This window comes from Homo sapiens, chromosome 21 (assembly GCF_000001405.40).
Source record: "Homo sapiens chromosome 21, GRCh38.p14 Primary Assembly".
In the NCBI taxonomy this organism is placed as follows: domain Eukaryota; kingdom Metazoa; phylum Chordata; class Mammalia; order Primates; family Hominidae; genus Homo; species Homo sapiens.
In genome coordinates, this window is record NC_000021.9 from 34,430,671 (window position 1) to 34,444,629 (window position 13,959).

The window sequence follows — 13,959 nt, forward strand, 5'->3', positions numbered from 1 at the left end:
ATTTTGATGCAGGGCAGGCAAGCCCCCAAATTGGGTTGTAGCCTGAGAGGGTTCTTGGGTTCATTCAGGAAGGAATTCAAGGGCAAGCTGGTGGTATTAGACAGCAACTTCTGTTGAAGCAGCAGTGGACAGCAGCAGCAGAGGTCCTGCTCTTTGCAGAGCAGGGCTACCCCATAGGCAGTGTGCCCAGAGTAGCAGCTCGAAGGCAGTTCTGTAGTCCTATTTACACCCACTTTTAATTATATGCAAATTAAGGGGCAGATTATGCAGAAAATTTTAGAAAAAGAGTGCTAATTTCCAGGTTGTCGGGTTGTTGCCATGGAAAGGGGCCGCAACTTCCGGTGAACTCCATAGTATGTGGCACACACTGGTGGGCGTGTCCCATGGAAAGGTGCTTCCGCCCTGTACCTGTTTTAGCTAGTCCTTAATATGGTCCAGTATCCGCGCCCTGCCTTTGGAGTCAAGTTCAACTTCCTACCTCAATTGATGATAGCAGTTTCTGAAAACTAACACATGTAGATATAAATATAAGTCCTTAAGTCTATCATTATTATGCATATCCTATAGGGGAGTCATCGCGAATGAAACTGAACTTATTGTGGTTCATTCATTCAGATATTTATTTAAAAATATTTATTAAAGCTTACTGTCTGCCAGTCCGATACTGCACTAGGTAAGTGCTGGGGTTACAAACAGAACAAGATAGACAGATTAGTTGCCCGCATGGAACTTATATCTAGTGGGAAGAGAAGCAAAAAAAAAGTAAGCAAGCAATAAACAGTAAAAAAAAAAATACTGGGATTTGAGCCATAAAAAAAGAAATAAGATGCAGAAATCAGCAATAAGGAGGTTGGGGAGAAGATCCTTCTTTAGAAAGAATTGCCAGAGAAGGTGGTTGGGATAGGCAGAAAAAATAGTAATATTCCTCTTTTATCTTCACCTATATTAGATGATCAATAGATATTTCCTGAGAAATGAAGGACTGAGTATATTATAAGAAGGTATGATTAAAAACAATCACCAGAATGAATGGCTAACAAGCACATGAAAAGATGCTCAGAATCATTAGTAATGAAAGAAACACAAATTAAACCACAATGAGATACCACTTCACACATAAAAAGGAATTAACACTTGCTGGTGAGGATGTGGGGAAATGTCATATTTCCCCACAGCAGCCATAGTACACTGCTGGTGGGAATATAATATGATGCATCTGCTATGGAAGAGAATATAGTGGCTCTTCAAAACGTTAATCCTAGAAAGCCTGGGCATGGTGGCTCCCGCCTATAATTCCAGCACTTCGAGAGGCCAAGGTGAGAGGACTGTTTGAGCCCAGGAGTTTGAGAGCAGCCTTGGTAACATAGCAAGACCCTGTCTCTATAAAAATCAAATAAAAAATAAATAGAGGAAAAGCACATTAATCATAGAACTGCCATATCCACCACTTCCACTCCTTGGTATATACCCCAAAGAACTGAAAACAGCTATTCAAAGAAATACTTGCACATGAGTGTTCAGATTATTAACGGAAACCAAAAGGTGGAAATAACCCACATGTCTACCAATGGATGAATCAATAAACAACACATGGTCTATCCATACAGTAGAATATTGTTGAGCCATAAAAAGGAGTGAAGTGCTGGTACATTGCCAGAACATCAAAGACCCTTGAAAACATTATGCTAAGTGAAATAAGCCAGATGCGAAAGGACATGAATTATATGATTTCATTGATATAAAATGTCCAGAAAAGGTAAAAAATATCCATTGAGACCAAAAGCAGATTGTGGTTGCCCCGGACTAAAGAAAGAGTAATTACTTAATTTTCCTGGGGGTTTCCTCTTGGCATGATGTTCTGTATACAGGACATACAAAAAGCCTTTATTTTTTATTCTTAGCAAATACTTAATTAGTACTCACCATGAGCTGGGCATGTTCTAAGTCACTTTCCAATTACTAACAAATCACTTAATTATATTGACACAAAAAGAATGGGCATAATGCATAAAGCAAATACGAACATAAAAAAGAAATCTCCCTATTAATATCATTTATGTTGAATTCAATGCAGGGAGCATTTAAATAAGATAAAGGGAGATACTTCATAATCCACACTGGTCAGCTAACATCATGACTATCTATGCAGAAGATAAACCAGCATCAAAACTCATAAAGAAAAATTTATAGAGAGTAAGAAAAAAATGAAGAAACAGTTTAGAGGTAGGTAATTTGAATTTACTGTTCGGTGCATAAAAGAACAAATAGGCCAGACGTGGTGGCTCAGGCCTGTGGTCCCAGCACTTCGGGAGGCCGAGGCAGGCAGATCTCGAGGTCAGGAGTTCGCGATCAGCCTGACCAACATGGTGAAACCTGTCTCTACTAAAAATACAAAAAATTAGCTGAGTGTGGTGGCGTGCACTGTAATCCCAGCTACTCAGGAGGCTGAGGCAGGAGAATCGCTTGAACCTGGGAGGCAGGCTGGGCGCAGTGACTCACGTCCGTAATCCCAGCACTTTGGGAGGCCGAGGCGGGTGGATCATGAGGTCAGGAGATCGAGACCATCCTGGCTAACACGGTGAAACCTCGTTTCTACTAAAAAAATACAAAAAAATTAACCAGGCATGGTGGTGGGCACCTGTAGTCCCAGCTACTCGGGAGGCTGAGGCAGGAGAATGGCGTGAACCCGGGAGGAAGAGCTTGCAGTGAGCCGAGATTGCGCCACTGAACTCCAGCCTGGGTGACAGAGCAAGACTCTGTCTCAAAAAAAAAAAAAAAAAAAAAGAAAGAAAATACAGGCCACACAGATGGGGAGATGATAATTGCAAGTTATATATTTGATAAAGGACTTTCATTCAGAATATATGAAATAGTCTTACAATTTAATAAAAGAGGACAAACAACCCAGTAAAATGTAGGAAAAATATTTGAACAGATGTTTCACCAAGGAAAAAATACAAATGGCTAATCAGCACATGAAAAGATGCTCAACATCATTTAGTCATTAAGGAAATACGAACTAAAACCACCATAATATATCACTACACACCTGCCAGAATGGCTATAATTTTAAAAAAATGGACAATACTGAGTGCTGGTAAGGATGTGGAAAAACAGAAACTCTCATACCTTGCCAGTGGCAATGTTAAATGATACAGCTATTCTGGAAAACAGTTTGGCATTTTCTTAAAAATTTAAACTTATTATATGACCCAACAATTCCACTCCTAGGTATCTACCCAAGAAAAATAAAAATACATGTCCACACAAGGGGACTTGTGCATAATGTTCATATCAGCCCTATTTGTAATAACACCAAATTGGAAGGAATCCAAATGTCCATTAACTATGAATGGAAAACCAACATTCTTACAAATAATTCAACAATAAACCTTCATGAACCTTAGAAACATTATTCTGAGTGAAAGAAACCAGACACAGAAGACCACAAGGTGTAGGACTGTATTTATTTGACATTTCTAGAGAAAGCAAAACTGTAGAGACAGCAGATCAGTGACTGCCAGGGGCTAGAGACGGAGGCAAGGGTTGATACAAGCAGGCAGGAGGTTGCTTTCTGGGCTGATGGAAATGTTCTTATGCTGGATTGTGGTAATGGTTCACAACTGTATAAATTAACAAAAAATTATCAGACTATACCCTTACAATGGTATGTACATTTCATCCAAGTAACGCTGCTTTAAAATTTGAAATTAAGCACCTAATGATATTAAGAAATGAATAACAAAATAAACCCAAAGAAAGCAGGGGGGAAAAAAAGCAATTGGAAAAGATGAGAGCAAAAATAATGAAAAAAAAAACATCTATAATACATCTAGCGGTTGGTTCCTTGAAGAAAAAGAAAGAAAGAAATGAAAAAATCATTAACTATCCTAATAAAGAAACAAAGGAGAAAGAACAAATATACAAAATAAGAATTGTGAATGAAATAATTGTAGACACAGAGGATATCAAATGAGTGACTCCTCAATCCCTCTGCAAATAGATTCAAAATCTTGACCAAATGGATGATTTTCTAGGAAAATATAAATTACCAAAACTGACCACCAAAGAGATTTTAAAAATCAGAAAATATCGTTTATCACAGAGATGGTAAAAACCTTGATAAAAAGTCATTTACCCAGAGAAGCATCTGGTTCCAACAGCTTTGCAAGTGCATCCTATTAAAACTTTATTGATTGGCAAACGCTAATTTTTTTTAATTTTTATTTTTAATTATACTTTAAGTTCTAGGGTACATGTGTACAACGTGCAGTTTTGTTACATATGTATACGTGTGCCATGTTGGTGTACTGCACCCATTAACTCGTCATTTACATTAGGTATATCTCCTAATGCTATCCCTTCCCCCTCCCCTCTCCCCACGACAGGCCCCAGTGTGTGATGTTCCCCACTCTGTGTTCAAGTGTTCTCATTGTTCAATTCCCACCTATGAGTGAGAACATGCGGTGTTTGGTCTTCTGTCCTTTCAATAGTTTGCTCAGAATGATGGTTTCCAGCTGCATCCATATCCCTACAAAGGACATGAACTCATCCTTTTTTATGGCTGCTTAGTATTCCACGGTGTATATGTGCCACATTTTCTTAATCCAGTCTATCATTGCTGGACATTTGGGTTGGTTCCAAGTCTTTGCTATTGTTAATAGTGCCGCAATAAACATACATGTGCATGTGTCTTTGTAACAGCATGATTTATAATCCTTTGGGTATATACCCTGTAATGGGACGGCTGGGTCAAATGGTATTTCTAGTTCTAGATCCTTGAGGAATTGCCACACTGTCTTCCACAATGGTTGAACTACTTTACAGTCCCACCAACAGTGTAAAAGTGTTCCTATTTCTCCACATCCTCTCCAACATCTGTTGTTTCCTGACTTTTAATGATCGCCCTTCTAACTGGTGTGAAATGGTATCTCATTGTGGTTTTGATTTGCATTTCTCTGATGGCCATTGATGATGAGCGTTTTTTCATGTGTCTGTTGGCTGCAAAAATGTCTTCTTTTGAAAAGTGTCTGTTCATATCCTTTGCCCACTTTTTGATGGGGTTGTTTGATTTTTTTCTTGTAAATTTGTTTAAGTTCTTTGTAGATTCTGGATATTAGCCCTTTGTCAGGTGGGTAGATTGCAAAAATTTTCACCCATTCTGTAGGTTGCCTGTTCACTCTGATGGTAGTTTCTTTTGCTGTGCAGAAGCTCTTTAGTTTAATTAGATCCCATTTGTCAATTTTGGCTTTTGCTGCCATTGCTTTTGGTGTTTTAGACGTGAAGTCCTTGCCCATGCCTATGTCCTGAATGGTATTGCCTAGGTTTTCTTCTAGGTTTTAGGTCGGACATTTAAGTCTTTAATCCGTCTTGAATTAATTTTTGTATAAGGTGTAAAGAAGGGATCCAATTTCAGCTTTTTACATATGGCTAGCCAGTTTTCCCAACACCATTTATTAAATAGGGAATCCTTTCCCCATTTCTTGTTTTTGTCAGGTTTGTCAAAGATCAGGTGGTTGTAGATGTGTGGTATTACTTCCAAGGGCTCTGTTCTGTTCCATTGGTTCTGTTCTGTCTCTGTTTTCGTACCAGTACCATGCTGTTTTGGTTACTGTAGCCTTGTAGTATAGTTTGAAGTCAGGTAGCATGATGCCTCCAGCTTTGTTCTTTTGGCTTAGAATTGTCTTGGCAATGCGGGCTCTTTTTTGGTTCCATATGGACGTTAAAGTAGTTTTTTCCAATTCTGTGAAGAAAGTCATTGGTAGCTTGATGGGGATGCCACTGAATCTATAAATTACCTTGGGCAGTATGGCCATTGGCAAACACTAATGTTTTTAAACTGTTCTAGAGAGCATGGAGAAAGGAGAAAACCTTCCAAATTATTCCTGTGAAGCTTGCATGTCAATGATTCCATAACAATAACTATAGAATCAAATAACCACAATAAAAGAAAAACACAGACCAACTCCACTTATGGATATAGATGTAAATATTCTAAATACAATATTAGCTGATAGATCTAACACTGCATTAAAAGATTTGTGGAAGGAGTTGTTCAATATTAGGAAATCCACTCTGTGATTATCTCAAGTTAGCAATTAGATGTATATTCAATGCTGAAATAACAGAAGCACCCCAGTTTAGTCAGAAATAAGACCCAATTACCCATTATCACCACCACCATTTAGTATTGCACTGGGGAATTACCAATTCAGTTAGACAAGAGTGGGGAAGAGGTACAAAAACTAGAAAGAAGGTGGCAAAAACAATCATTGACTGTATGATTGGAAAAAATAAGAGAATCAATTGCAAAACCATTAGAAAGAGCAGGATAATTCAGGAAGCTCAGGGGGCACAAAATAAATGTTTTTACAAAACAATATCCAAGAATCTATATTAACAACAATATCTTTGAGATATAATTGAATAGAAGATTCCATTTACAATAGGAAACCCCAAAGATAGAACACCCAAGAGTTGCACAAAATTTACACAAAGAAAATCTAAACAACAGAGGGACAAAACGGAAGATTTGACTACATGCAAGTATATTTCCTAGTCTTGGGTAGAAAGACTCATCTGCATAAAGATGACAATCCTTCCTGAATTAATCTATAAATTTAGTATAATTCCAATGGAAATTTCCCTTGTTTTGTTGTTGTTGTGCTGTTTTTGTTTTGTTTTCCAGACTACACTGAATGCCAAATATTCCATTTAGTGATTTTCTTCTTCCCTTTTCCTTTCTAATGACATATTTTGTGCTTTTCAGACCTGCCTTTCTTTCTCTCGGCACCAATGAATAAAGTTCCAGCTTTAAGGCTTGAAAAATCACAGCAAAGTTGCAGCAAAATTAAAAGGAAAAAAATGTTCTTTTTTTTTCCTGCAGCTGCAGAGAGTGGCAGATAGCATCCTGCGTGATAAACGCCTATTCTTGGCTAGGCGCAGTGGCTCACGTCTGTAATCTCAGCAACTTGGGAGGCCAAGGCAGGCAGGTCACCTGAGGTCAGGAGTTCGAGGCCAGCCTGGCCAACAAGGTGAAACCCCGTCTCTACTAAAAATACAAAAATTAGTTGGGTGGTGGCGCACACCTGTAATCCCACCTACTTGGGAGGCTGAGGCAGGAGAATTGCTTGAACCTGGGACGTGGAGGTTGCAGTGAGCTGAGATAGTGCCACTGCACTCCAGCCTGGGTGAAAAGAGTGAGACTCTATCTCAAAACAAACAAACAAACAAACACCTATCCTTGCCTATGTCATTTTAACAAAGGAGGAAGTAAATCCCCTGGATTTCAGAGGCTGATGCTCTGCCCAAGAAAAGCAACCCTAACTTCCCCAAAGGCTAAAATTCAGACTGATTGGCTCTGGCAGAGATATTTAAATTGATACCTCTGTTTCCTCAAAGGTATAAGCCTTTGCGAACTTTCTTTGGTTTCTCTCTTCTCTCACAGGAGGCAGGGGATAAACAAATATGTTAGATTTCTTATTTAAACAAAGAGCTTGAGGGTTTTGCCTCATCGAAATTAACAGAGACAAGTTGATGCTAATATTTTTATGGAAAATCGAATATGCAAAAATAGCCAAGGAAATTCCAGGGAAAAAGTAATGAAAGAAAATATCACCAAAAGATGTTAAAACATTTTGGAAAGCCACAGAAATTAAAAGTGTTTGATCCTAGCATATAAACAAGCAGACAAGGGGCTGGGCATGGTGACTCATGCCTGTAATCCCAGCACTTTGTGAGGCCGAGGCTGGTGGATCACCCGAGGTCAGGAGTTCGAGACCAGCCTGGCCAACATGGTGAAACCTCGTCTGTACTAAAAATACAAAAATTAGCCAGGCATGGTGGCACGCACCTGTAGTCCCAGCTACTTGGCAGGCCGAGGCAGGAGAATTGCTGGACCCTGGGAAGCAGAGGTTGCAGTAAGCCGAGATTGCACCACTGCACTCCATCCTGGGCGACAGAGCAAGACTCTATCTCAAAATTAAAATAAACAAACAAACAAATAAATAAATAAACAGGCAGATAGATCAGTGGAACAGAATAAAATCCAGAAATAGACTGAAAACATTCAGGAAAACAGTATAAAATAAAGGGGACATTTCAAATCAATGGAGAAAAGATTAGTTATCTCAGAAATGAATGGGACGATTGAGTAGACTGGGAAAGAGTAAAACTGGAGCTCTACACACACCAAAATACATTCCAGATGGGGCTAAGATTTTATATATCTATATATGTTTAAATAAAGCCATGAAAGAACTAGAGCAAACATGAGAGATTTATTTTTATAATCCCAGACGGTGGCAATCTTTCCAAGTGTGGCACAAAAGTCAGAAATCATTAAAAAAAGACTGATAAATCCAACTACACAAAGTTAGACATTTCTTTATGGCAAAAAATGCTATCAAAAAGTCAAGAGATCAATGATAATGGGGGAAACATTTGTAACACATACAATAAGCTGTCCAATTTTTTAATAGTCAAAGACTTTAACATTAAGAAACAGACCAGCTGGCTGGGCATGGTGGCTCGAGGCTGGGGGATCACTTGAGGTCAGGAGTTCAAGATCAGTCTGGCCAACATGGCAAAACCCCGTCTCTACCAAAAATACAAAAATTAGCTGGGCATGGTGGGGCATGGTGGTGCATGCCAGTAATCCCAGCTACTCAGGAGGTTCTTCTGGCTTCTCAGCTTGCAGACAGCCTATTGTGGGACCTTATGATTGTGTGAGTTAATACTTAATAAACTCCTGTTTATATTATGTGTGTGTGTGTGTATATATATGTGTGTGTGTGTGTGTGTGTATACACACATATACTGGAATATATGTATATACATATATACATATATACACATACATATATATACACATATACATATATACACATATATATACACATATACATATATACATATATACACGTATACATATATACATATATACACATATACATAAATACATATATACACATATATATACATATACTATATATATACATATACATATATTCATTCCATTAGTTCTGTCCCTCTAGAGAACCCTGATGAATACAGTGGGCTACACACCTATTGGAATGGCCAAAACCCAGAACACTGACAACACCAAATGCTGGTAAGGATGTGGCGTTTTTTATCCGCATTCATTGCTGATGGTAATGCAAAATAGTGCAGCCAGTTTGGAACACAGTTTGGCAGCTCTTTACAAAACGGCGTGTACTCTTACCATACGATCCAGAAACTGTATTCCTAGGTATCTACCCAAAGGAGTTGAAAACTTGTAACCACACAAAAACTTGCACACAGATGCTCATAGCAAGCTTTATTTATTATTGCCCAAACTTGGAAGCAAACAAGATGTCCATCAGTAGGTGAATGGATAAATAAACTGTGGTGTATCCACACAGTAGAATATTATTCAGTGCTAAAAAGAAATGAGCTATCAAGACATGAAAAGACATGGAGGAAACTGAAATGCATATGACTGAGTGAAAGAAGCCCTTATGAAAAGCTACATACTGTATGACTCTAACTATGTGACATTCTGAAAAAGGCAAAACTATGGTGAAAACATCAGTGGTTGCCAGCAGTTGAGACGGGTGGGGGGAAGATAACCAGGTAGAGCATAGAGGACTTTAAGGGCAGCGAAAATGCTCTGTATATTACTACGATGGTGGATACATGTCATTATACAGCAGGTCCTTGGATGACACTATCTCATTCAACATCATTTTGCTATAAAGTTGATGAGAAAAAAAAGTCAATTCCTAGCCAGGCCACTGTCTCTGTGGAGGGTGTGCGTTCTCCCCATGTCTGTGTGGGTTTCCTCTGGGTCCTCCAGTTTCCTCCCACATCCCAAAGCTATGCACGGTAGGTGAACTGGCATGTCTACATGGTCCCAGTGTGAGCGAGTGTGGAAGTGGGTGAGTGTGCCCTATGATGGAAGAGGACCCTGTCCAGGGTTGGTGTCTGCCTTGACCCTGTGCCTCTGGGATGGGCTCTGCCATCCACAGCTCTGAAGTGGAATAAGCCAGTCAATAATATTCTCGCTTGTTTTTTGTTGTTGTTGTTGTTTGTTTGTTTTTGTGACAGAGTCTCACTCTGTTGCCCAGGCTAAAGTGCAGTGGCACTAACTCGGCTCACTGCAACCTCCACCTCCAGGGTTCAAGTGATTCCTGTGTCTCAGCCTACTGAGTAGCTGGGACTACAGGCATGCGCCACCATGCCCAGCTAATTTTTGTATTTTTAGTAGAATCAGGATTTTGCCACGTTGGCCAGGCTGGTCTTGAACTCTTGACCTCAGGTGATCTGCCTGCCTCAGCCTCCCAAAGTGCTGGGATTACAGGCGTGAGCCACCGTGCTCAGCTTTCACTTGTTTGTATTAATCTTTCCTAAATGTATGTATGGCTCACATTTATTTCAATGTTTAGTATTAGAAGTGTTTGAGGTCTTTGTAAGTTTGGTGATGTTTTGTGACCAGAAACAGGCCATAGGAACTTAACTCTTGTTTATATTAATTAGCTTATGGTAAAATTGGATAAATGTTTTATAAGAGACATGAAAGGGCATACAGACACACAGGAGAGAAGGCCACGTGAAGATGGAGGTGGAGGAGACAGTGATGCAGCCACAAGCCAAGGGATGCAAGCGGCCACCTGCAGTTGAGAGAGGCAGGAAGGATCCTCAGAAGGCATGGAGCCTACGAGGAAGCCTGGCCCTGCTGGTACCTTAATTTTGGACTTCCAGCCTCCAGAACCATGAGAGATTACATTTCTGTTGTTTGAAGCCACTGATTTTTGTGGTCATTGGTTATGGCAGCCACAGGAAATAAGATAATCACCCACTTAATTTTCCTAGAAAAGCTGTGTTTTGAAAGTCCTCTTGAAGCCTGGGTTCCTCTCTCTGCATCTCCCAGTTTTCCCTCAAAGCTTGTGGATTCTCCATTCCTCACATTAACTCAGGCCTTTCATTGCCAAGTGACCCCGAGTCCTGCCTTCGCGGGTGCTGGGGGAGCCTTCCTGACCCACTGGAAGTGGACCTGCCCATCTCCTTGCTGTGAAACTGCATGAGGGGGCTTGTGTCTGAGGATTGTCTGGCGTGAGGGGAGAGACACCACGTGGGGACAGAGGAGTGGATGAGCAGGCCGGGGCATGACGGGGCCGTGACAGGGACCTGGCCTTCCATTCTGTGGAAGCCTGAGACAAGCAGCAACTTCTCTCATTCCTCCTCTCTATGACAAGACAGGAACTGGGACACTCACCTTACTACCCTAATTCGCTGAGCCTCGGAAGAAAAGCAGCTTAGATTTTTAATCCCATCCAAGATGGAGGCCCTCCTGCTCCTGCTGCCTTGTTCTCACCCCCTTTCGTGATGTGCGAGGCCATCGGAAGGTGTGGAATTTCTCCACTGATTCCTCTCATTGTCCCTTTCTCCCTACTCCTGGGGAGGCTGCAATGGTGACCTCATCCACCTTCAGAGGCAGGTGCTGGAGGAGGAAAGGATGTGGGAGTTCAAGCCGGCTGCAGAGGCCCAAGAGCCCAGATGGTGTCCTTCCAGCAAACTGGAGAGGCACTCCTCCTACCAGGCAGCCACTGCCCCACTCCAGGGCCCCTGGCTCAGCTAGGGAAGTGGGGCTGGGTTTCACCCCCTGCTCATCCCCTAAGGCCCAGTGCTGGACTCAGTGCAGCACCTGCCCAGCCATCTCTAGCAGCGGCATAAAGCATAAAATCAAGGCCAATGTTACGTGCTGCCTTGACATGTGGTAAAATGTGAAGGGCCTCAAGTGGCCTAAATGCAAGCTCCTGTCCCACCTCTGCTCCCATAAATAGGGTCTCCCAGCTGGGCAACCCTTCTCATCCCAGGGACCAGGTACCACCCCTGTTTGTTGCCAAGTAGCAGGCTTCAGTTCCCTGCCAGTCTGCGGAATTATTTAACAACCTCATGAAGAAACCAGGGGCCACTCCACCCTCTGTATTAGCCTGTTCTCAGGCAGCTAATAAAGATACCCAAGACTGGGTAATTTATAAAGAAAAGAAGTTTAATTGACTCACAGTTCCACATGGCTTGGGAGGCCTCAGAAAACCTACAATCATGGTAGAAGGGGAGGCAAACATGTCCTCCTTCACGTGGCAGCAGGAAGGAGAAGTGCTGAGCAAAAGGGGGAAAAGTCCCTTATAAATCCATCAGATCTCATGAGAATTCACTCACTGTCATGAGAACAGCATGGAGGTAACCCCCACATGATTCAATCACCTCCCACTGGGTCCCTCCCACGACATGTGGGGATTATGGGAATTACAATTCAAGATGAGATGTGGAAGGGGTCACGGCCAAACCATATCACTCTTGTTACTACCAAACCTGCTGTCCAACAACCCTGCTGTTCACTCTGCTCTTGAGCACCACCTCATGTGGCCCTGCATAGCCTGCAGTGGCCCTTCCCCTGGGCTACGAGTATATGTGACTAGAAAATTGCCGTGGGTCTCACCTATCCAGTGTTGGGTGTTGTGTGTCCAGCCCTAGAGTGGGACTCCTTCCCTCACGAATGGGGTGAATAGAAGGTGATAAAAAGATCTGAGTCTAGGGATACCTAGGAGGTGGAATCTCTTCTCCATGCATAGCATGAGTGATCACAGGCCTGAAACCAAAAGGGACTTAGGTCTGGGGGAGAGATTATTTTCCAGGTGCTGAATATTCCTGGGATAGGGGAGGGAGCTAAACAGGTTCCTGCCCAAAGGAAGTGAGAAGGGGGTCCTAGCAACTTCTCAGGGATTTAGAGCTGTGACTCCAGGGCCTTTGTTCAGAGGAGCTACCTTGCAAGGAACTTCTAGAAGAATGCTTCTCTTTCTCAGCATCCATCCTCCCATTTCATAGTCGTGCCCACGATGGGCCCCGTCTCCCTGAACTTGATGGCTGAATAGAAGTGTAGCCTCCCAGGGGCATCTAAAGGCACTCAGAGCCCCTTACCCAGCCCCAGCAGGCACCTGCCTGGCTGCCCGGTCCTCAGGGTTCCCTGTGCATTGAGCAATATCCTCAAAGTGACCACCAGGGGGCAGCAGCACCCAGACTGCCTTCCACTGCACCTGCAGATCAACAAATTCCAGTATTTTGGGGGAATATCTGTGATAACTTGGCTACTGCTTTACTGACCTCAGGTAAATAGACAGACCAATGTGCTTGAGGAGCCAATTGCTTTAAATCTCCTGACTCATTTTTTGTATTAAGATTTGTTTTATTTATGCAATTATTCTGTTTACTCAAAGACTTTACCAGAAGCTGGGTGCAGTGGCTCATGCCTGTAACCCCAGCACTTTGGGATGCCAAGGTGAGAGGATCGTTGGAGCCCAGACATTGGAGACCAGCCTGGGCAACATAGTGAGACCCCATCTCTACAAAAAATTTAAAAATTAGCTGGGCGCCACTCATGGTGGCTCAGGCCTGTCATCCCAGAACTTTGGGAGGCCAAGGCAGGTGGATCACCTGAGGACAGGAGTTCGAGACCAGCCTGGTCAGCATGGTGAAACCCCGTTTCTACTAAAAATACAAAAATTAGCTGGGTGTGGCGGTGGGCACCTGTAATCCCAGCTACTCGGGAGGCTGAGACAGCAGAATTGGTTGAATCTGGGAGGCAGAGGTTGCAGCGAGCCGAGATTACACCACTGCACTCCAGCCTGGGCAACAGAGTGAAACTCAGCCCTCCATCCCGACCCCAGAAAAAATTACCTGGGCATGGTGGTTTGAGTCTATAGTCCCAGCTACTCAGGAGGCCAAGGTGGGAGGATAGCTTGAGTCTGGGAGGGTGGGAGTCTGGCTTGAGTCTGGGAGGGCGAGGCTGCAGTGAGCTATGATTGCACCACTGTACTCCAGCCTGGGTGAGAGAGCCAGACCCTATCTCAAAAAAAAAAAAAAAAAGTACCAGCCCCTATCTACCCATTCATAGCTTTATGTCCATTTCTTTTGTCT